This window comes from Homo sapiens, chromosome 5 (genome assembly GCF_000001405.40).
Source record: "Homo sapiens chromosome 5, GRCh38.p14 Primary Assembly".
Classification (NCBI taxonomy): Eukaryota; Metazoa; Chordata; class Mammalia; order Primates; family Hominidae; genus Homo; species Homo sapiens.
The window spans coordinates 52,007,649-52,034,054 of NC_000005.10; the positions used below are offsets into that span (position 1 = coordinate 52,007,649).

A 26,406-nucleotide genomic window follows, 5' to 3' on the forward strand; every position below is an offset into this window, starting at 1 on the left:
GATAGACGAAGTTCTGGTTTTCTTAATTGCCAGGTAGGCATCAGTTGATATCCTGCCGCAATCAAACCCAGCTATTACCTAATAGATAACCACTCTAAAAGAAAAAAAAGTAGCATGATATTTAAAAAATTTGAATGCTTGGAGCAGTTTTACTGTCTAAAAAGTGTTCACCTTTGAAATATGTTTTTGACCACATATTACAAGTTTGTGAACAAGAAAAATAATACTACAATTTAAAATGTATTCATATAAGCAGCAAAACTGTTGGTGATTCGTCTAGGCAAATGGCATACAGCCAAAATTATACTTTTCCATTCTGTTGTCACAGTGTGGACTTTTGTAACATAGCAAGGGATTTCAATGCCATCTTTTGAGTATTGAATGAAGGGTGAATTTGAGACCACTTACAACTCCATCATCAATTTTAAAGGTAAAGTTGTTATAAATGTTATTGGGTTGATAAAACTTAATGGTTTGAGCAGATGAGCATACGGAAAGGTGAGAAGAGGATTTAAAGACACAGAACAGCAGCATGAGGAAGAGTGCCAACTGGAGGAGTAGATCCATAATAAGAGAGGTGACTGATAAGAGAAAATGGGATAGGAGTAAGGGATTAAGGATAGCTATTGGAAATGAAGGTAAAAAGCTGAGATAGTGTCTATGGAGGAGGCAATGTGATATAGAAAGAACAAAAAAGCCAAATCAAAACTTTGGAATTGCATAGACCTGGGTCATCAGCAGGTCTGCTTCAACTGCTACAAGCTGAGAATAACAATTTCCCCATACTTTTTACTTCTATTAAGTTAGAGAGTATCTATGAAACACTGAAGCTCTTGAAATATAGAGTAAACATTTTTCATTTCAGTAAAGAGTTTAAAAGAAAAATACAAAATTAATAAAGATGAAAAGGAAGGTCAATACAAAAGAACTTCAGAAAGAAGAGCTGAGATGAAAAGAATTAAAATAGCAATAGCGATAAGAAAAATCAGATCTTGATGAGAAAATTGATGGGGTAATAAAAACAGTAATTGTTCAACACGATGCCCATATTATCAAAAGAAAGTAAAATATGCAGGCAGACAACATTTGCATTGGCCAAACCACACCAAATAAACAATTTAGCTATTCGCATGACTTTCTATCCACGTGAAAGAAATTTCCATTTATCAGCTGTAAATTTTTAACTCACTTCTCTTTGAGCTACACTTTCACTTTTCAACAACTTTCTGGACGTTTTGGTTTAAATGCCTCACCAAAATCTTCAACTCCAAATGTCAATAATGAAATTTTGTTGTCTTCATTATTAAATTTGACCCTCTCTCCCTGATTCTTTTACTTGATAATTAGCATCACAATTCTCCCAGGACAGTGGCCACTTAATTTAGTACTTCTACTTTTCCTCTTTCTCTCTCTTCACCTTTCCCATGTGGAAAACCACATACCATATTTATGGTAGTGATAATGATGAAAACTAGAATATATATATTATTTTAGAATTTATCCAACATTATTTAAACTTTTTCTAAAGATTCTTCTGCTGAATCTATCTCTCTATATCTGTTTGAATTTTTTCCCTTAAATTATATGCTTCTTAACATGTCAAGACCTTCCATGATCTTATACAACTTGGTTTTTAGATTAATTTTCTTTATATCTTCCCAATATCCTGTTCCAACCTGTTTTTTCTCCAAGATAACTGGTTTTGTCTTTCTCCCTGGGTATTGAAAGCCCATTCATATTTCAAGACCCTGATTTGATGCTATTTTCTCTATGATCATTTCCCAGTAGCAGGCCAGCCACCCAGAAGTTGCCAGATGCCAGTTTCTTCTACCACTCAGAACATTACTAGAATTAACTGGAGTTGTTTCTGACCAAATGGATACATATACACACACATATATGTTCTCAATTACTCATAGTGATTTAAATTTAATGTTATTAAGAAATTCATTACATTGCTACTTTGAGGCCAAATAATACATAGTGTAACCCTGCTTATTTGAAATTAGTGATCTATTTTATAATCAAAATGTTAAGTCTTCCCAAGTTAGTTATCTGTTTAGAGCAGGAATTTAAAAAAAAAGAAAAAAGAAAAGAAATAAAGAGGTAATAGGGACCACATAGAATTGGTTAATTGTTTTTTTTTTTTTTTTTAATTTCTTTCAGAACAGTGACTCTTCATTGGCCAGTGGAAGAAATTAGTAAGTGAATTTATTTCTGTACATAATATGTATGAATAGAAAAAACACTTTCTGTCGGTATCCACTAAGTAAATACTGAACAAATAATTAATATGTTTTGAAAGACCTTGACTGTATTAGGCTTTGTAATGTTTAGAGTCCTCTTAGTTTATGTTTCTTATATTTACTGTTTTTTTTTTTTTAAGAGTTTAGCATAGGTTTGCCTTTTCCCCTAAGTCTTAGGAAGGCAGATTTTCTGTCTTAGACAACACTGTGGTAGAACAAAAATATGAACAATTGAGACATGGAAGTCAAGAACAATACTCTCCATGTTAGTTTCTGGGCGCACAGCCTAGTAAAAATTGGCATTTTGTCTTATGGTTATCATTGGTGATATAGATGAAATGAGTTATGAAGACTTAACAATTAACCTGAATTTTAGGTTATTACACTATCACTAATGACATAAAATACTCAGGACTTCATACACACACACAAACACACAACAAATCAGACTTAAAGGTAGAAACAAACTCAGTCTATTTACTCAGTAAAGACTATTGTGTTCATAAATGCAAGTGTTAAAAAACGAATATACCCTCAAAGCAGCTGTATGAGTTTTTTAGTATTTTTTTCTGAATTTTAGATTTATAAAAACCATGTCTCAGCTGCTACCTTTCAACAATTTTACTCTGAGGCAATAAATAATTCAATGTGCTAATTTGACAGATGACTCTCCAGGAGCCTCCTACCATTACTAGCATCATTAGGCCATAATATGCATGACGAGGATGGGCCATTCAGCAAATGTCCTTCACTTGTTTACCCCTAAAGAGCTGTGCTCTGCACAATTAACTAATGAAGCATTATGGGCCTTTTTTTTTCTTCCCTGCTATTTCAATATATCAGTGCAAAGAGTCGAGGGAAAATACAGTCTGTTTCCTTTGGCTAGATCAGTATTTATGGGATGGTTAAGACTGCACTGTAGCTCCCAGATGAATAAGGTGAAAATAATAAGATGGTCAAAATAGATCATTGCCATCATTATTATTATTTCCTTTTCCTTCCATGATTTGTGAAAAAAATGTTAAAGGAATTTGGTGTTGAAATGCAAGAACGAGATAAAAAATACCCAAAACAGTGCTCAAATTTTCTGCTTAACATTTGCTGATTATCAAGAATTTGTACACTGTCCTCATCAAGTTAGGTAATTTTATGTTCACCTAAAACCTTGACCACATGTTAATTTTCTCAGATTTCTATTCAAGTTTAAAATTAAATTCCAGTTAAAAAATATTGAAATAAGAGTGTGAATATGGGCTTTGGTGCATATGAATCTCCTCTTACCATCCAATTCAACAAGGCATGTGCCTACAAAGGTTCAAATGAAGTCACTAAGTCCACGTCTAAACAGTTTCATCCTGCAAAATTGGGTTAAACAAAGAAACCTCATCTGACTAGACTGCTGTTACTGTTTCAATGAATTATTTGATTGCCAAGACATTTTGTTGCTCAGAAAAAGTGGCTTAAGGTAGAAGTGAGTTTAGGGACCTCTTTGTTGCATTTAGAGTGTATTATAGGTTCTTAGTTTAAAAATTATGACATCCTTTACCATTCCTAGTATTGTTTTGTGCTTTAGAGTGAAAAAAATGAACTCTGCTCGAATCATGTCAATTGACATAATAATTGATAGGTCCTAGGAAAAGAACAGTTACATTCTTCTCTTTCCAACCTTCATCCAGACCCACAATGATGTTGATGCTATTTCTAAGAGGTAAGAGTCACAACTATTCTTCTTAGATGTAAAACTATTTTATCCAGTTGAAAATATAGTTTCAATGATAATTATTATAATGCTTCTTTTTCCCCAAAGAAACTAATAATACATCATAACAATCATTGTGATATTAATAATAATTAGATAGCTATAATTTATTAAGTGCCAGTTTAGTCTGAGCCCTTTGTTACATGCATGAGAAACATGAAAAAATGGTGTGAAGGGCTCGTTGGTTCTTTTACGAACTTTGAGGTTAGAAAAATTTTCACATTAAAACAGGAAGAGAACCATTATATTTTAAGAGTTCTGTAGACAAATTCTGGTATATTATCAATCTCCTGTCACCTTTATGGGAATGCTCAAAATCACTACTACTATATACTTCCTCATACTATTCCACTTGAAAAATCAATCTATTCATTTCTTCTTTCAGTAAAATCAATTTTAAACATGCTAACCCAGTAATAAGCAAATTTAGTGGAAAAATAATTTAAACCCTTTATAAATATAAATGTTCCCAGTGGTCTTACTATAACCTGGTAAATTACAGAATCAGTGAAAATCTGATATTTCTGATATTTTGTATTTAAAAAATTGAGTGCCATTAATGTTTTTTAAATATTTGTTTTTCAATCCACATATAAAAGTGGAATAAAATTACTAGAGCATGTAAAATGTATTTTTTCAAAATGTACTTACAAATGGAAAAGACTACTTGAATGCCAAGGAAAGCAGTAGTTTCTTTGCTTTTATATTGGAGAGAAGGTCATGCATCATCTCTGTAGAACATCCTATCCATAAAAATCTGAGGAACATTTGTAAGGAGTGGGAACACTTCCAAAAAATTATGCTGGAGGAATTTCACAAGACTGAATGTATTTAATGCAAAATTTCTTTAGAAAACATAAAAATCACCTTTTTATACCCATTCTTTTCTTTTCCTTACTTTCCATGCCCATCCTTTCCATATGAAACCTTCCATATGGTTTGCTTAAATTCTTCAAATGTAATGAAAAATTATTATCATAAAGGTCCAATACATACTTCAAATTACTATTGCTATTTGAACTATGTATTGGACCTTTTAGTCTGGTATTTGTAACTCAGACATTTTATAAAGCAGAAAAGAGACCAAAATATGGAATACTTTGTAGGATAATTAAATGCTTTGTAAATACAGAATAGGCAAACTTCATTTTAAATATTTGATCATTTTATCCAAAAGAGCTATCTAGCAAAAATAATATGGGTCAGAATGTTATATAATTAATATAATTACATCAACAATTTTAGGATTTTGGCATTTAAAATGTGCCAAGTATCACTAACAAGCACTGAAAATTACTTACAAATACTGCATATTAAAGTTTATTTAAAAATACAGTTTCCATAACACAAAAGCTATAAATCAGTACTCAATGAGCTTCAAAAATTACAAGTACTAAAACAAATGTATATAATTTCCATATACATTTATCTATAATCAACATTTAACCAAAATTATCTCAAATTTTATATTACTTCTAATGAAATGTGTTCCTGCTTTGTGTAAGAAAAAATTAATATCTACATGTTGTATTTTTCTAGAGCTTTGCTCATTCTTATGTAGTAATTTCTTTATTTAGTGTGATTTTGCTAAAAATTCAATAATGTACCATTAAAAAAATAATACTTATACTAAATACATCCAAGAGAGGCACTCTCCCATACATATGCCACTTAACTGCAGGCTCACAGTTCATCGGAGACATTTCTGTTTATTTTGATATCTTTTGTTAAAGAAATCCACAGTAACAATGATGACCAGACAAAGAGAGGGAAAAAAAAAGCCATTCATCCATTCATGGGTAATTGAATTCCCTCATATTTCATAAACAGACTGCCTATCTGTAGGGTTGTGTTTTATTTCAATAACTTTCTTTAAAATGCTTTTCCTTATAAGATGGGGAATTACAATAATGTTTAAGAACTCAAGGTCAAAACAGTTTTTAAGTTAGTTTACTTGATGGATGCATTGCTGTGAGAGGAGGCACCCCCTCCCTTTCCCCTCCCCTCTCTCCTACAAATTGCCTTTAGACTGGATGTTTATTGCCCAATGTAAAGAACAAAACAGGGAAGTAATTAAACCTAGAATTGCCTGCTGGTGCTTATGACATTCAGGCCATGGGCCTGAGCCTAAGAGTCCACCCAAATCTGCAAAGAAGGAACCTTGGTTCTGAAACAAAGCCAAGCAGCAAGACATCATTACTGTTAATTACCTGATAAACAAAAAGGACTTGGTGTCGTGGCAAAACACCAAACTCAGTGTGGCAGCTGATGCTGTAAAAGACAGTTGGCCTTACTTTGTCCTGTTGAGCATTGTACTGTGAGATGATCCACCTCCATAAAGAGCTCAAGTAATTATACTCCAACAACTGTGTTTATACGCTCTGTACTCACTATTGTGCTCTACTAACAACAAACAACCTGTCCTCTGGAAACAGGTGGCATCTGCTAAACATCAAATAGAAAAGAAAAAGACATGCTCTCAAATGGTAATTTATTAATTGATAAGCCAGAGGACAAAGTACATGAAAGCAGGTGAAAAATATGGAAGTACACTGTTTAGGTCCCTTATTAAATAAATATGAATTAAATAAAATATGAGATATATTTCTCAAAATAATCATTGGCTTTTGTGACCTATCTTGAAATATAATAGCACAAAAGAAATATTTTAATAAGAATGTTATTTATTTGTGACCTACCTTGAAATATAATAGCACAAAAGAAATTTTAATAAGAATGTTATTTATATATTGATACTTATATTTCATATATGATATGTATATATGTATATATGTATTTTCATTTTGTTTTTATCTTTTTTATTCTGATTTTCATTGATTATGCATGAAAATCAACCAAAAAAAGTAGTTAAATGGAGTGGAGTGGCAGACACGATTATGTCAAGCTCAGATGAGATTGTGTCATAGAATCCTATGTCCATACAATTGCAGGACATGGAGTTAATCAAGTGGATTTGGGTGTCTTTGGGAGAGTGATGTAGCATTAATGGCATCATTAGATAGATCTGGTTAGCTTCTTGTCACCTGGGGCATGGCCTTAGGTGAATTAGACTTCTAGAATCAATTTCTTCATATGTAAAATAAAGTTAATCATACATTTCTCTCAGCATTGGTGTGAGAAGTCATAGATGTAATGTGTACGTTCATTTAACATAGTGCCCAATGCATACTAGGCTTTCAGTAAATAGTGGTTTTGGTAGCCAATTGGAATAAATTACTCATGTTTGAGGCAACTGGCTATTTAAGACAACTAAGAAACACAGAGTGGGCTGAATCATAGCTGATTTGGTAAGTATGGGCAGGTAAGCAAGTCATACTCTCCACCAGTAGATACCCTATCAGCTAAGGCAAGGACACTCAAAAGCTCTGAGGCCCAGAATCTTCAGCGCTTCAGGCATTCCTCACATGCCTTACAGGATAATGGGATGGTTAAAAGTAGTGAATTTAGATTTCAGAATGACCTACATTCAAGTCCATGCTTTGTGGGTTGCTATTTCTGTGTGCCTTGAAAGATGACTTAAACTTCTTAACTCATATTCTTCACCTAAAAAGTGAGATGTACAGGTCTAACCTCTTTAGAACATGAACTACCTAAATTTGAATCACAGTTTCACAATTTACTTAGTTACTTATCATATCTCTGATTTAGTATCCTCACCTTAACACTGGGAACAAATATTGTAACTACTTTATAGGATTGTTAGGAAAACCGAGTCACTCACTAGCCCTTAAAATGGTGCTTGGAACATAAGAAATCTGTACTATAATGTGCTTTTATTACCAGCTATTTAGGAATTTTTGAGCTCCTTTTGAGACCTTACCTACTTGTGATAGTAAATATTATTAGTAGTAATCCCCACCTGCTCATGGATGCCACCACATGGCATGCTGTCAATCCTCCACATGCTTTTCTGAGAGACTTTGCAGTTTACCTTCACGTTTACTTACAAGACAATGTCACCAGTATGCCCACTACAATTACCACATGACACTCTCCATGTACTTTCCCTCCTACTTTGCCTCACCCTATTTTATATAAAGTCTTGGCAAAGTAACTTGAAAAGGCTTCTCTGTTGCCACTGCTGTTATAGGATCTCAAATGTCTGTCATTCAAGGCCATTCAAGCGTCCTGTTCTTGTAGTGGGATTCTAGCAGACATGGAGAAAAGGATACCTCCTTAATTCTCTGTCACACTTTGTCATCTGGGCCTAGAACACTCCTCATGCCTGTAACTGCTTATGTCCATAAGAGCTCTTGTGAAATCAGCTCCCGCCTCCGACTTCCCTAGGCCTCCAGCCCAGCCCACTCTCAGAATGGAATAAAGCCCAAGGTCATCCTATTCGCTGCCACGGGCTCCCCACCACATGCTTCAGGCTTGTAATGATATCATGCTTAGTGGGTGAAAAATGAAAAATGTATTATTGTTACTTATGTGTCCTCTCATGTAGACCAGCATAATTATTTTTTAATTTTGGAATTCATGGAAGTTAATCAAACTGAATTTGCATATTTGAAGCCTCAGAGACTGATTATTTCTGAAGAACCATATGCCAGTGGCTGTAAAATGCTGCTCCTTTGTTATACAGTCAAATTTCTTGCTTACCTTTCATGATAAAAGAATTAGTCTGACACAGCACTCTATTCACTACTATACTGTCGAATAGTAAACTTTTCTGATCTTTTTATGACTGCCAATAATTTACATAAATAACAACAGCATTAAAGTGCAAACACTGCAGTTCTAGGGAATGAAAGAACCATTACATTTAGCTTAGTAAGTAAGCATCCTGAATAAAATCCACCAAGAAATCATAAAAATAACAACACACAGATTGTTCTTTATGTTTTTGTGTACCTTAGCTCATGTAATTCTAAATTCAGAAGTAATCATTCAAATTCAAATTCTAAAAGGTATGTATTCTGAAGTTGCCATCATCACTTGCTTAAGAAGAATCATAAGCTTTAAGTAAGTTGTTTAAAATGTCTACATTTCTTAGCAGTAACTTCTATCCATTATTCAAAAAGGGGCTTTTCTATGTACTTTCTATCATCCTTTTTTGTTGTCTTGCTGATTAAAACCTTTACTGTAGAAACTTTTTGCTACAGTGTGTATGCACACATGATATTACAATAAATCGCGTGCCAAACAATATTGATAATACATTGTAAATTTATATTAAAGTGGTCATTATATTAGCATTTATATACATTTATATGTTATACAGAGGACCTAAATAACTTGTCTTAAAATGGTAAAAGTAAAGGTGTTATTCAGGTAATATAAGTGATTTTTCAAGTGTTAATGAAAAGTTGAAAATGTTACTAAGATGTTAATAAGATGTTACTAAGAAGATGTTACTAAGCAAAGATGCTTAAGATGTATGTTTGGGATAGAACAATGTAGGTCTTGCAAAGCCAGTCTGTAAAATTGATGTAGATGACGCTGAGTGATTACAGCCAGCACACCAACCTTGAGCAATACTTCACCAAGACATAGATTATAAAGGCATATTCCTTGCTTCCTAACGTTACCTCCACAATATTTTCATCAGTGAATGCAAAGCTACTGCCATTTTCGTCTTTGTTTCTCTCACTATATGGTTTACTCATGTTCTCCAAAATACGCTGTCTCCTTAAGGAAGTTTTATGGTATTTATAATAATAAAGCACTTGGAAATTGTGGAATAGAAGCTAGTTTCTTTGTAAGTATTGATGTTATTTAAATCCTAAGTAGGAACTCGGGATCGATGTATTCAAAAATCAAACCAAAATTGTGATTTAATAGAAACTGTTTTTAAAGATTATCATCTAAAATATAGTTGTTCTAAATTTCAACAATTTTAAATATTTTTATTAACTTAATACATATATTGAAAAGGGCAGGCATTTTTTACACTAACCAAGTTATTTATGCTGACTTATCAAGTATTTACTGCTGTTTTTGTTATGTGCTTCATTCTATTTGTGTTAAATGACCTTTAGTCTCTAGTCTAAAGCAATAAAGTGAATGCTTCCTGTCCTATTGATTAGGAAAGGCCTATTTTCACACTAATAAAATGGGAAGGCTCGTTTAATAAAATACTTTTTGCTACCAGCGGCCATAGGTGAACTGGAGACTTGACAATGCTGGCAAAGGTCAACTGAGAGGACAGAGGTCAACTCTGTGGTAAATCAACTTCCAGGAACAAATCACTGGACACTATAAAAATCAAAAGTGGTTCTTTAAGAGACCAACTTGACCCTCCTTAACCAGAAAATAACATCTGACCTGGCAGTGAAATTTATCACAACATTTCAATTAAAACTTGGCAGGCACACTAGCAGCTTACTGTTCTTCTACAGTTGACCTTGTTATAGAAAAAAACAGAGACAGGAGGGGAAAAATGGATATTCTGGATTCATATTGCATAACAAATATAATCTGTACAGTAAGATTTTATCAGTTACATGAAGTTTTCTAGAAACTAGATTAATATGTTATGAGTGAATAAAATACAATTTTGCATAAATTATTTGCTGTTCAATTGTTTCAGATATCTGATTTTTTTTACGATATTAAAAAACAGCCTGTCAATGTTATCAGTTAAGCAATAACCTGAAGGTGTTATATTTTACATACAAGTACATATCTGGAGTTTGGCAGGGCAAACAAACATTCTTAAGTATCCTCCTTTTAAATTTATTTTTGCAATCATCTATATATTTACATTCTAGATTTGAAGTAACTTAATCATATGATTTTCCTCTCATGTCTACCAAACAGAAGTATGATAAAAATAGAGAAAAAATGTATCTTATACATGCCAGTCCTTTTGGGTATGGTAATTATGATCTTAAAACCCAGTATAAGGTACAATATTTAAAAATGAATTTTGAATCTAAATGGCATGTATGGTCTCAGCAGTTCTCATCACAATGGAAGCACTAAGAAAATGTGAATAGATTAACTCAAATGGCATCGTATTTTTGACCACAAAGGGTCGTTATAAAAATTTTAAAATCTGAAGTTATCTGGGCGTAGTGACTCACGCCTATAACCCCAGCACTTTGGGAAGCTGTGGCAGGAGGATTGCTTGAGCCCAGGAGACTGAGGCTGCAGTGAGCAGTGATGATACCACTGCGCTCCAAACCAGACAACAGAGTGAGAACCTGTTTCAAAAAAAATCTGAAATCATCGCAACCTACTCATCTGACAAAGGGCTAATATCCAGAATCTACAATGAACTCAAACAAATTTACAAGAAAAAAACAAACAACCCCATCAAAAAGTGGGCAAAGGATATGAACAGACACTTCTCAAAAGAAGACATTTATGCAGCCAAAAGACACATGAAAAAATGCTCATCATCACTGGCCATCAGAGAAATGCAAATCAAAACCACAGTGAGATACCATCTCACACCAGTTAGAATGGCAATCATTAAAAAGTCAGGAAACAACAGGTGCTGGAGAGGATGTGGAGAAATAGGAACACTTTTACACTGTTGGTGGGACTGTAAACTAGTTCAACCATTGTGGAAGTCAGTGTGGCAATTCCTCAGGGATCTAGAACTAGAAATACCATTTGACCCAGCCATCCCATTACTGGGTATATACCCAAAGGATTATAAATCATGCTGCTATAAAGACACATGCACACGTATGTTTATTGTGGCACTATTCACAATAGCAAAGACTTGGAACCAACCCAAATGTCCAACAATGATAGACTGGATTAAGAAAATGTGGCACATATACACCATGGAATACTATGCAGCCATAAAAAATGATGAGTTCATGTCCTTTTTAGGGACATGGATGAAATTGGAAATCATCATTCTCAGTAAACTATCGCAAGGACAAAAAACCAAACACCACATGTTCTCACTCATAGATGGGAATTGAACAATGAGAACACATGGACACAGGAAGGGGAACATCACACTCTGGGGACTGTTGTGGGATGGGGGGGAGGGGGGAGGGATAGCATTAGGAAATATACCTAATGCTAAATGACGAGTTAATGGGTGCAGACACCAGCATGGCACATGTATACATATGTAACTAACCTGCACATTGTACACATGTACCCTAAAACTTAAAGTATAATAATAATAAAAAAAAAGTTTGTTACTTCCCTTGAATTATTTCACTGCACATTGTGGCTCAAGTGTATAATAAAAGAGTCACAGGAGACAGGGACATTGGCCTCTCCTTTTCTAAAGGTTAAATTTGTGACTCTTTAAAAGCATATCATCGTACCTTTCTCAGTGGTAGAACAAGATGGCAAAATAGATAATTTTAAAGATCGCTATTTTATCATTAAATGGCTATAATCTCTAAACTTTTCAAATAATAATGAGTCAATCCAAACAAGTTACAGAACCAGGATAAAGCTTAGGATTTTATGACTTTTAGGAATTAGAAACATTTAAATGTATAGGTTTTGGTAATACTTTGGAAAAAAAGATACCATGCATGTGTTGCCTACTCTATGCAGGCAACAAATTCTAAAATCAAAGAGATGATGGGGCTACTGCTGTTGAGGTAACAGAGGCAAAACATGAGGGAAGTCGGTAAGGTAATGCTATTATTATGATTAGATAGCTATAGATTTTTATTTATATATTTATAATCATTGTATCTATTTAATATTAATGATAATACTAAAATATGTAAACATATTCTAGATCATTCAGCTAGTGACCTTATAACAGATGTCAGTGTTTGTATTAACAATTTTATTTTTAATCAAATTGGAATTTATCAGTACTCTTTAATAACCACAGGCTCTAAAGTAAAGACCTGAGATGAGTGGTATACATGAGGGATTAAGGCCAAACAACAACCCAACACTGCAAATGAAAGTTTCACAAAAAATCAAATAGACCAGAGTCAGGGTGGGAGGAATTAAAGCAGCATAGGACTCACTATAAAATAGTGATGAAAGGAAACTGCAGTGACAATATTCCTTTGCAAAGTGCTTATGTAATTGGTTTCAGCAAAACATTTTCCATTATTGCATTCATATTTATGTTTGAATTGTATTAGAATTTGACTTTGTTTTTCATTTGTAGTAACTTTTTGCAGAATGAAAGCTAACAAAGGAGGAGAGAGTGATACAACCCTGGGGGGTCATGTCAGTGTGGAAGAGTTGGGAAAATGTGTTTTCAAGGTAAATGGAGTAGCTAGATGAAGACTCGAGGAAAGATAGAATAGTCTCTAAAGAAGAACTGGTAGCTGGGCAGAGAGAAAAAAGTGCTCTCTGCCTGAGATGAAATTGGAGATTGTTGGCAATGTTTAAATATTCTTTGCAACTTTTGTGTCATGCTTTTATTATTGTTTTAAATTACTCAAATACTTAAAATAGAATTTTAAAGGAACTATTTACAACTTACATGTTAATGTTAATAAATATGTTTATATTCTCAATCCAGAATGTTGCCAGTCAATATATTTCTGAAAAGGATTTTCCTAGGATGAAGCAACCACAAATGTTCCATGCTCAGAATTCCCCTCAAAAGAACCTTCTGCAGAAAGCAAATTTAGCTGACAGCTTTCAGCTGCCACCATTTTTGATGCATCAAGGTAGTCATCCAGGGCCACATTTACCTTGCATTGCTCTCATCCACTGATTGAATATACTTTGCATATATTATACTTGCAGTAATCTCGAAAGATTAAAGATAGTTATTTAAATGTTTAATATTATATACTATGCACATTTAAGAAGAAAGAAATTTGGTGACAGAGAGCTTACCAAAGTGTATAATTTACCACAAAATGTTTACCACAAAACACAAGAAATCATAAATCTTTAAGCTAGATGATCTATAGCTTTTTAAAAAGTTCCAAATTGCTAGGAAAAAATTGTCTTTTGAATTTTCTTATAGTATTTTTCTCTGAGAATGTCATCCAAAGAGATTGTTCATGAAGGCTGTAACAGAAACTATAATTAATAATATTTATCTATAAAAAGTAAAGATGGAGAGTGAGAAATATTTTCAATTTTATATTCAGTTAATATTTTTATAACAAACTGCATTACCTTTGCATTTAGAAAAAAATTATAAAAGTCAGGCCCTAAAATTTCTGAGTTCTCAATATGTTTACTTTTATACTATTGGTTTTATGAACTGAGTGCCATAGTTATATATTAAAATTATAATTGTATAATTACATGATAAACATATATTTATACATAAAACATAAGTAAGAATTAATATGTTCAACATTTCAAATCCCTGTAATTTTCTTGACCAGAAAACTGGCTTAGAAAATCAATCGTATTGCCAAAGTTCATGTATGTATGTTTTGATAGAGCCAGCACTAGAAACCCTGTCTTTTGACTCAGTCAATCTATTAGACTAAAGTCTTTTAGTGAGTGCATTCTATATGCCATTCTACAGTAGATGCTGGGGATACAACTGTAAGCAAGGCAAATGCTATCTCTGCCTTCATGGGACTTACATTCTGTCACAGAAGATAAATGTAATCAAATAAGTAGAAGTTTTGAGAAATATGCTTAATAAGTACCAAATGATTTAGAAATATGTAACGGGGTTCCTAATCTAGTTGGAGGGATTGGGAAAGGCTTTCCTATTGAAATGTCATTTGGGTTAAAACATGGATGGTTTATTTTTATATTTACTTTTTTTTTTAAACTTGACTATCTTATCCTATGCCATGTAGCAGGTTGTACTAAAGTGGCAATTGCATGCATGTTTCAAGTCATTATTCTCAGTGCCTACTTACCAGGCACTGAAAATTCCCTTTACATCTAGTATTTACTATTGCATTATGCAGGGATTCATGTCTATCAATATGATCAGCAATATTTCAGCCACAGCACTTATCAACCAAGGAAACACTTTCTCCTGAATACCATGTGTTTTCACCTGAATTATTTCTGAACCAAACTGGGTCCTTTATATGTAGAACCTTTTATCCTTATGTAGAAAATGAGTGTTGAAAGGAGATTAAAATATTAGTATTAAAATATTTTAATATGTGGTAATATTAGAGATATAAATTGAGCAGTTATTAAATAAATGTGATAAACTTTCTATTGATAGTGATGTATTTAGTTTTCATTGCTGCTATAACCAATTACCCCAAACTTACTGGCCTAAGCACTGCAAGTTTTTTTTTATAGTTTTCCAGGTCAGAAGCTCAACATAGGTCTCACTAAGCTAAGTTCAAGTTGTGCACAGGACTGCCTTTCTTTCTGGAAATCCTGAAGGAGAATCCATTTCCTTTCCACTGCAAATTTATAGGAGCTCCCCACATTCTTTGGCTCATGTCCTACTTCCTCTTTCTGCAAAGCCAGCAACATTATTGTATCTCTCCAACCACTCTTCCATAGCCACATCTTCCTCTGACCACAACTGGGAAAGGTTCTTTCCTTTTAAAGACTTAAAATCATTATACTGAGCCCACCAGATAATCGAGGATAATCCTCCCTTTTTAAGTCTTCAATTTAATTACATTAGCCATATCCTTTCTGACATGTAAGGTAACATATTGTCAGGTTCCATGGATTAGGATGTGGATATCTTTTGTGGGGAGAGGGCAGGCATTATTTTGTCTACTTCAGGTTGAATATTATGCTTAATCTTTCATGTTCAACTACTTGGTAAAAATAAATGAAAATGTAATTTGTAGAGAAGAAAAAAATAGATTAAATATTAGTATACCACCAGTATTTTAAATCCTCCCTTTAGAAATATCTTCATTCAAAATTTGTAAAACTTGTCATGAACCTCAAACAGTAAACCTTCAGTAGACTCCATAAAACATGGTTTGCAAATGGTCAGCCTATTATATTTGAAATTACAGAGTTATGATACAAAACTGATAGCGATAACTTCTCTTTGTGGTAGCAGAAATAAAACTAATACCAACCGTGTCACATAGTTTTGTACATATCAGAAATCTATAAACATTGCAAATATAAAATAATAATATTCTAAATCACATTTTAAAATGCTCTAATGTAGGACTAACAATAATGGGCTGGTCCTACATTGAAAATTGTTAAAATTCACAAGGTTTCTCATTAAGATATTTTTCCTTTGGTTTGTTATCAAGTCATGTCAAAGTGGTGCATGTAAAATACACCAGGCATGGAGACTGGGGAGCAGGAGCAGTTTTCTGGTTCTTCCTTTGTTCCTCATGAAGCCGAGCCTGAAGTTAAATGAGGAAAGCAACCTGAATGGAGAGAAAAAACTCTCCAAGTCAGAAAGAAAAGATCAAAGCGATCTTTGTCCTTTGTACCTTCAGGTTGGAAAATGAACAATGTCATCACTCAAGGGGGTTCCTAATATCTTTACTTTCCACTTATATCATTGTTAGTTTGTTTCATGTTTGATTTTTCATTGGGCCCATTAAGGGCCTATTATTGTCTACCATATACATTTTAAAAAATTGGTCCTTAATACAGCCTTTTGGTACCAAGAGGGCATAAATTATTTTTGGAGTGTTTTACTATATTCTAACAAGATCGTTCTTCCTGGGAATAGTAAATGTGACTTCCAAACATAATATACTCCTTTATTCAAAAGCAACCAGTCCCCAGTTGTGGAGACCCAACAAAATTAATTATTTAGCATATTATTTATCTATGCTGGTTATATTAGAATTATCTAGAGAAATAGAACCAATAGGACATATATATATATATATATATAGAAATAGATCTATGAGAAAGCATTTATTAGGGGAATTGGCTCATGTTATTATGGAGGCTGAGAAGTTCCATCATAGGCTGTCTGCAAGCTGGAGAACCAGGGAAGCCAGAAGCATGACTCAGTCCAAGTTCAAAGGCCTCAGAGTCAGGGAAGCTGATGGTGTTACTTTCAGTCTGAGTTGAAAGTCTGAGAAACTGGGGCTGCTGGTGCGAATTCCTGAGTCCAAAGGCCAGAGAACCTGGAGTTCTAATGTCCAAGAGCAGGGAAAGAAGCCTGAGTTGAAAGTCTGAGAAACTGGTGCTGCTGGTATGAGTTCTGTAGTCCAAAGGCCAGAGAACGTGGAGTTCTAAAGTCCGAGAGCAGGGGAAGAAGAGTGTCAATTCCAGAAGACAGAGAGAGAATGTGAATTTGTCTTTCCTCTGTCCTTTTGTTCTATTTGAGTCCTCAGCCAGTTTCTTGATGGCCACCCACACTGGGTGAGAGGACATCTTTTTTATTCAGTCCACTGATTCAAATGCCAGTCTCTTCTGGAGACACTCTTACAGACATAACCAGAAGTACTGCTTTACTAATTAACTAGGTATCACTGAATCTAGTCAAGTTGACACAAAATTAATCAACACAATGGTGCATGTCTAAGGCCAAAATCCTTAATGAACATAGAAAAAAAAACCCTCAACAAAATACTAGTAAACCAAATCCAGCAGCACATGAAAAAGCTAACCTACCACAATCAAGTGGGCTTTATCCCTGGAATGCAAGACTGGTTTATATATGCAAATTAATAAGTGTGATTCAACACATAAACAGAACTTAAACCAAAATTCACATGGCCATCTCAATAGATGCAGAAAAGGCTTTCACTAAAATTCAACATCCCTTCATGTTAAAAATCCCCAACAAACTGGACATTGAAGAAACACCTCAAAATAACAAGAGCCATCTATGATAAACTCACAGCCAACATCATACTGAGCGGGCAAAAACTGAAAGCATTCCTGTTGAGAAATGGAACAAGAAAAGGATGCCCACTCTCATCACTCCTATTCAGCAAAGTACTGAAAGTCCTAGCCAGAACAATTAGGCAAGAGAAAGAAATAAAAATTATCCAAACAGGAAGAGAGGAGGTCAAAATATTTCTGTTTTCATACACTATGACTGTATACCTAGGAAACCTCGTAGTTTCTGCCCAAAATCTCCTGGATTTGATAAACAACTTCAGCAAAGTGTTAGGATACAAAAATCACTGTACAAAAATCAGCAGCATTTCTAAACACCAAAAACATCTAAGCAGAGAGCCAAATCAAGATTACAACCCCATTCACAATAGCCACAAAGATAATAAAATCCCTAGGAACACAGTTAAATAGGGAAATGAAAGATCTGTACAATGAGAATCATAAAACATTGCTCAAAGAAACCAGATATGACACAAACAAATGGAAAAAACATTTCATGCTCACGGATATGAAGAATCAATATTGTTAAAATGGTCATACTGCCCAACGCAACTTACAGATTCAATGCTATTCCTATCAAATCATCAATGACATTCTTCACAGAATTAGAAAAATATCTTAAAATTCATATGGAACAAGAAAAACTCAAATAGCCAGGCAATCTTAAGCAAAAAAAGAAAAGCTGGAGGCATCACACTACCCAGCCTCAAAATATACTACAAGACTATAGTAAGCCAAACAACATGGTACTGGTACAGAAACAGACACACAGACTAGTGGAACAGAATAGAGAGCTCATACATAAAGCCACACACCTGTGACCATTTGATCTTCAAAAAGTGGACAAAAACAAACAATGGGGAAAGAACTCCCTGTTCAATAATTGGTCCTGGGATAACCGGCTAGCCAAATACAGAAGATTAAAGCTAGAAATTTTCCTTACACCATATACAAAAATCAACTCAATATGGGTTAATTAGACTAAAATCTAAAACCAAAAACTATAAAAACCCTGGAAGATAACTTAGGCAATACTATTCTGGACATAGGCCCTGGCAAAGATTTCATGACAAAGATGCCAAAAGCAATTACAACAATAACAAAAAAATTGACAAATGGGACCTAAGTAAACTAAAGAGTTTCTGGACAGCCAAAGAAGCTGTCAACAGAGTCACAGACAACCTACAGAATAGGAAAAAAAAATTGCAAACTATGCAGCTGACAAAGGTCTAATATCTATAAGGAATTTGAACAAAATAACTAGCAAAAACCAAAGAACCTCATAAAAATTGTACAAAGAACATGAAAAGATACTTTTGAAAAGAAGACATACACATGGTCAACAAGCATAAAAACATTCTCAACATCACCAATCATTAGAGAAATGCAAATCAAAACCACAATGAGATCCCATCTCACACCTGTCAGAATGGCTATCATTAAAAAGTCAAAAAATGACAGATGCTGGTGAGGTTGCAGGAAAAAGGGAACGCTTATGCATTGCTGATGAAAATGTAAAGTAGTTCAGCCATTGTGGAAAGCAATTTGGCAACTTCTCAAAGAACTTAAAACAGAACTACCATTTACCCCAGCAATCCCATTACTGGGTATATAACCAAAGAAGTATAATTTTTCTACCATAAAAACACATGCATGCTTATGTTAATCACAGCACTACTCATAATTGCAAAGTCCTGAAATCAATCAAGATGCCCATGGATGATAGACCGGATAAAGAAAATGTGGTACATATACACTATGGAATACTACACAGCAATAATAAAAAATAGCTCTTGTTCTTTGCAGCAACATGGATGGAACTGGAGGCCATAACCCTAAGCAAACTAATACAGGAACAGAAAAACAAATACGACATGTTCTCACTTATAAGTGGGAGCTAAACATTGAGTACACATGGACACAAGGAAGGGAACAACAGACACACGGGCCTAGTTCAGGGTGGAGGTTCGTAGGAGGCTCAAGATCAAAAAACTACATATCAGATACTAGGCTTATTACTTGCATGATGAAATAATCTGTACACCAAATCCCTGTGAACACAATTTACCTACGTAACAAATGTGCACAGGTACCCCTGAACCTAAAATAAAAGTTAAATAACAAACAAACAAAAAAAGAAAATAAAAAACACTAAATTTCTTCTTCTTTGTACTCATTTATGTGTTGCACAGATAACAGTGAGATCAACTTTGACTTAGAGGGATTGGCTACATTAGGAATTCCATGCAATTGTGATCAGATCTGAGTAGAGCAACAAATACAGGGCTTTCCTGCAGGGTCACAGGTGAAGAGCAGTTTGAGGTCTATATGGTTGAAGAGGGAGGTGAAATTGGAAATATGGTTATAATACTCACAGAAATATTAAAATGTCTCCATAGTGTGAAAAACACATTAAATTACAAGAGTAATCTATCATCCTAATGGATAAATCAATTACTACTTAAAACAGCAAAGATCAGAAGACTACAAATTTTGGTCATGTGCAAACTGAAAATTTGTAAACTGATAAGCTTACTCTTAGACAAATAATCATTTCCATGTGAAGATAACATTTCCTACTATTCAAGTACAGAAAGCTATACTACCCACACAATCTTCCTAAATAATCTAGCAGCAAAGTATAGAAAGCAAAAGAAAAAAAATAATTAAGAAAATAATAGAAACAGTAATACTTCAATACTTTATTAGAGCTCTCTTAGTTATTGACAGATCAAGCAGTAAAACAATAAATAAAATTATAATAGATTTAATTAACTTAATTAACATGCTGAAATTTCAGGTATGTGACTTGAATGAAATGTCCTTCAAGCAGAAAGTATAATTTTGCTGCTAATGCTCATCGTACATTTATAGAAATTGAGCATGTAATAAGCCACAAAAATCAAATAGCAAAATTTACAAGATACTTAGGTGGGCACTAGTGACATAAAATTAAGAATTAAGAAGATGAACAAAAATGACAAGTTATATGAATTTTAAGAGAAAACTTCTCATAGTTAGGTCTACTTTCAAGCATTTTTCATCAAATAAAAAATACACATAAAAACTAATAAGGCCACATAAAATCTATGAGCTAGATACAAAGTTATTGTAAGACACAAATGTGATATTTTATCAAGTAAAAATACATTAAAATAAAATAATAATTAAACATCCATCTAAAGAACTTTGAAAGGGAGCAGCAAAATAAACCCAAATGAAGCAGGAGTAAAAGATGTATAAATTAAAAAGCAGGTTAAGGACAATACTACAAATTGATAAATGCACTTTGATATAATTTTTGGTAAAAGGTAAAACATTGTGAAAGACTAAACAACTAATATAATAAAAAGCACATTGACAAAGAAAATATAAACGACAAAGAGTAAAAGAATATACTTACAACATAGAGTGATATACTTAAAATATGAAGGGGACTTTTTCAATGTGTAATTTAATTTTATAATATTTCATTATATTACACTCATTAGTTTAATAAAAATAAAATTATTTTATTTTTGTTTAAAAATTTTGGATATTTTAAGCTTTAATGTTTACATTGAGAATGCCCAACATATGTTTTAATAAAATTAACCACACCATAAAATAGAAGATGTCAATCTATGAGACCACCCAAATAGATGCTGAAATGAATTTGAGTAAGTTTCATGTATCATTATGATAGAAACTAGATAGAGAAGAATATATATATATATAAAAATATATATATATATAAAAATATATATATATAAATAAATATATATATATATATATATAAATAAATATATATATATATATATATATATAAAAATACACTTTTTTAATTATACTTCAAGTTCTGGGGTATATGTGCCGAACGTGCCGTTTTGTTACATAGGTATACATGTGCCATGGTGGTTTGCTGCACCCATCAACCTGTCACTTACATTAGGTATTTCTCCTAATGCTATCCCTCCCCTAGTACCCCACCCCCCGACAAGCCCTGCTGTGTGATGCTCTCCTCCCTGTGTCCACGTGTTCTTATTGTTCAGCTCCCAATTATGAGTGAGAACATGCCGTATTTGGTTTTCTGTTCTTGTGTTAGTTTGTTGAGAATGATGGCTTCCAGCTTCATCCTTGTCCCTGCAAGGGACATGAACTCATCCTTTTTATGACTGCATAGTATTCCATAGTGTATATGTGCCACATTTTCTTTATCCAGTCTATCATTATGGACATTTGGGTTGGTTCCAAGTCTTTGCTATTGTGAATAGTGCTGCAATAAACATACGTGTGCATGTGTCTTTATAGTAGAATGATTTATAATCCTTTGGGTATATACTTTTAACCTGGTAAATACTATGTTTTAAACTACCAGCCTACATTGTCTTTATAAATATGACTTTAGCAACATGCTTACTAAAATCAAATACAGTCATGCATCACTACGTGACAAGGTTACAGTCTGAGAAATGTGTCATCATGGGATTTGGCTATTGTGTGACTATCATAGAGTGTATTACACAAGCCTAGATGGTAGAACCTACTACATGCCCAAACTATATGGTACAGCTTATTGATTCTAGGTTACAAACCTGTACAACATGTTACTGTACTGAATACTGTAGGCAATTGTCATACAATGGTAAGTATTTTAAACATAGAAAAGGTACAGTAAAAATATGACTCAAAAGATTTTTCGAGGCCAGGTGCGGTGGCTCAGGCCTATAATGTCAGCACTTTGGGAGGCCGAGGCAGGCGGATCACCTGAGGTCAGAAGTTCAAGACCAGCTTGGCCAACATGGTGAAACCCCATCTGTACTAAAAAAATACAAAAAATTAGCCAGGCGTGGTGGCATGGGCCTGTAGTCTCAGCTACTTGGGAGGCTGAGGCAGGAGAATCACCTGAACCTGGGAGGCGGAAGTTGCAGTGAGCTGAGATCGTGCCACTGCACTCCAGCCTGGGCGACAGAGTGAGACTCCTTCTCAAAAAAAAAAAAAGATTTTAAAAAATGGTATGTCTATGTAGGGCATTTACCATGAATGAAGCTTACAGGACTGTGAGTTTCTCTGGGTGAGTAAGTAAGTCGTGAGTGAATGTGAAGGCCTAGGGCATTACTTTATAGTACTGTAGACTTCATAAATGCTATATACTTAGGCTACACTAAATTTATAAAAGTTTTCTTTCTTCAATATTAAATTAATCTTAGCTTACTGTAACTTTTTATATTAAAATTTTTAATTTTTTAACTTTTTAATAATAATACTTGGCTTAAAAAACAAACACATTGGTCAGCTGTACAAATATAATATTTTTCTTTATATCCTAATTATAAAAGTTTTTAACTGCTTCAAAAGTTTTTTTTTGTTTTACTTTTTAAACGTGAAATAAATGAAGACTTAAACACACAAATTAGCCTAGGCCTACACAGAGTTAATCATCAAGATATAACTAGACAATAGGAATTTTTGGCTTCATTATAATCTTAAGGGATCATCATTGTATATGGGGTCTGTCCTTGACCAAAATGTTGTTGTGTGACACATGACTGTATTAGACAATCATGCCTTCTACCACAACTGTAATTAAACATGTTTCTAAGTTTTAGCCACTGCACATTTGTAAGAAAAATAGAGTGTCTGCTAAAAATACATTTATAAATATAATCTGTTTCATTTAGGAATATTATATATTGTATTACATTCAAGACAATCAACTTAAAATTTAAAAGAAAAATTGAGTCCTCAGTAAATTGACTAGCTATATCACTAAAATCCTAAATGAAATAACTTTTCATCACGCTATTAGTTATCTGTAAAAAGTGAAAATGAAGAAAATCACATTCATCTTAGCTATCAAAAATATTAACTAGAGAATAACCTTAATAAAAATGGCAGATATGTATAAATAAAATTTAAAACATATTGAATACTGTATATGAAGAAATGCATGTTTTCTCCTCTGAGAAATTAAAAGGCTAATTCTTTAACAAGAAATGTAAACATGAAACACAATATAAAGAAATGCCCAGACATATATACAGATACTTTGACAAACTTATCCTCAGATTCAAATGAAATGTGAAAAAGACAAAAATAATCAAAGATTTGACAAAAATTACTGAAAAGGGACATTTACTTTCAGATATTATGATGTATTAATACAAAAATCAAAAAATGTACTACAATACACTAAAGACTTAACATAGCCAAATCAATCACACAAAATAGAAAGCTTAGAAACATACCTACAAATATTTAAATGGTTTATAAATGCAATTGTTATCACATTAAATCAACTAAAAATGTGGGGTTGGGGGGAGGGGAGAAAGATTAAAAATTAAATCAATCAATCAAACAAAAATACCCTAAAAATATGCTGGTGACTATTTATGTAATTTCACAATATGATCATTTTTTTCCCCAAAAGAAGAAATAGTATACAAGCAAATAAGAAATGATTAGTAGGTGAATATTTTACATATAAAGAACTCATAGAAACAAATAAAATATGAACATCCCAGGGAACATTGATCAAATGAGACAAACATCTAAGTCATAAAATTTGAAACACTTAGGGCCAGTTAAACTATAAAAAATTTTAAACATTAATAAATTATTAATTAAATGTGAGAGATTATTTTTATCTACCAAAATGATTGTGGAGCTTAATAGTTGAACATATAAGAGTTAAACTGTATATTGTAATTGAGCTTAAATGTTAGCTTCACTTTACTAGTTTGATGATTTTGAGTAAATTATTTTAATTCTCCATGCTTTTGTTTTCTCATCTGGAATGTTAAGAATGCTATTATACTTGTACTTCACAGGTTTGTTGTGACGATTACATGCTTTTGTGTCTGTAAAACACTTGTTTCAATGCATGGCACTTAGAAAACACTCAAAATTACTAGATTTAACCTACATACCCAAACATAGAGGAAATATATAAATGAGTTCACCTTTGCAATAGAATAGTAGGCAAACTTTAAAAAATCATGTTGCCATGGATAAAATAGTCATTATCTCTTGACAAGTAGAAAATGTTCAAATAGTAAATATAGACTTTTGTTTTGACCTATGACAGTAACTATTATGGGACTCGCTCTCCTACTGAAAAGTATAACATTGATTAACTACATGAGGTATCTGCTTCAATATACTGGAAAAGAAAGAACAAGACTATGATCCTCAAGACTCCTCCAGGGAACAATCTCTTGGCCATGTCACAACAAAGTAGAGCCTAAACACACCTCAAGAGTTTGAAGTAGGTTAAGAGGCTGGGCAAGGCTCTAGATGGTAGAGATCTGTGAAGAGAAAAGCATCAGAAAATTTCTCTGAGTCGTTGGCCAAAAGCAGCGCTAAACTGCATAAGACTTAACAGAAAGTGTCTCCTATGGGCTTGGGAACAGAATAGCACAGAGGTATTACAGATTAAATAATGCTAGGAATCTTTGCAGTTCAGGCGCATGCAGTGTGCATACATTGTTAGGTTAACACACTGTGAAAAATCTGGGCCTTCAGCTTAGGAACCAGAAAGGCTATGAATTAAAGAGTAAAGACAATATGTTCAGGTAAGGCCTAGTCTACCTCTTCTCTAACTAAGTCTAAAATCAAATTCTGGAAAAATCTTTGGGGAAACAGATTCTGGACATCTAGTTCCTCAAGTGAGAGGGACTTGAGAAAACTTAGATGTCTATAGAATTGCCCTAAAAAAAAACATAATTAGGCTGCAGTCAGTTCAAGATGATCGTCAGTTGTAGATAGGCCGACAATTGCAAAAAAATTCCTTCAGATGAACAAAATAGAACTAGAATTTCTAAACACGTCATTAACAAAGTATAATGTGAAGTAAGTAACACATGGAAAGAAACAGGAAAATGTGACCTAGAATCAAAAATATATATATATTCATAGCAATATTCAGTAGCAATCAACATTGAGATAGCCCAGACGTTGGATTTAGCAACAAAAGTCTTTAAAGAGGCTATTATAAATATGTTTAAAGAAATAAGGGATAAAATGTTCAGAAAATTAAAGGAATATATGGTCTTAGGGAGGAACAGGGAATATCAGCAAAGATATTGTGTAAAACGACTCAAAAGGAAATTTCAGAACTGAAAATTATAAGACAGAAATGAAAAAACAAATCACTGAAAGTGCTTAACAGGAGATTGAAGAAAGCAGATGGAAGAGTCACTAAACTTTACAAAAGATCAATAGAAATACTCTAATCTGAAAAACAGATAAAAGAGATTGAAGAAAAATGAACAGACACTTAAGATACAAAAAGAGTCAAAACATAAGTTTTTAAAAGTCTCAATAGTGAAAAGAATAAAAAACTGAGCTAAACATTTTGAATAAATAATGGCCCAAATTCTTTCCAAATTTGACGAAAATATTAACTGATTGACTCAAGATTTCAGCAAAACCCTAAAACATAAAGTAGAAAGAAAACCATACTTAAGCAATTCTTAGTCTAACTGCTAAAAACCATGCTAAAAATGTCACCTAAAATCTTGTATGTAGAGAAAGTATCTTTCAAAATGAGAAAGAAAAAAACATTTTTTGATGAACAAATGTTAAGAGAAAAATCGTTGTCATTAGACCGACACTAAATTTGTTACATTTGGACAATGGGCAATGTCAAGTCGGCATTGAGAACTGAGAAGCATGAAGCAGGCAGGTAGACGGGCCAGAAGTGAAGTGTGAAGGAAGATAAGATTTACTCTATATAAATTCTAGGAAGCTAGGGATGCATATGATTAGCTCTGG

The 26,406-nt window shown here is 33.3% G+C and overlaps 1 long non-coding RNA gene across 1 annotated transcript in view, besides 1 other annotated feature; it reads left to right on the forward strand.

Annotated features, from left to right (window-relative positions):
- The first annotated feature begins 382 nt into the window (after positions 1-382).
- Positions 383-26,406, forward strand: part of LINC02118 (long intergenic non-protein coding RNA 2118) — a 35,879-nt gene continuing 9,855 nt past the window's right edge. Inside the window, exons 1-3 of the long non-coding RNA NR_147166.1 lie at positions 383-430; positions 2,167-2,201; positions 3,923-3,954. This is a non-coding gene — a long non-coding RNA (long intergenic non-protein coding RNA 2118). The remainder of the gene's footprint in view (positions 431-2,166; positions 2,202-3,922; positions 3,955-26,406) is intronic.
- Positions 24,211-24,745: an enhancer, noted in NCBI's record as "NANOG hESC enhancer chr5:51327693-51328227 (GRCh37/hg19 assembly coordinates)". NCBI's record gives its function as "activates a minimal SCP1, AML or CMV promoter by ChIP-STARR-seq in primed H9 embryonic stem cells {active_cell/tissue: H9 hESC(primed)}" and the evidence as "EXISTENCE:reporter gene assay evidence [ECO:0000049][PMID:30033119]".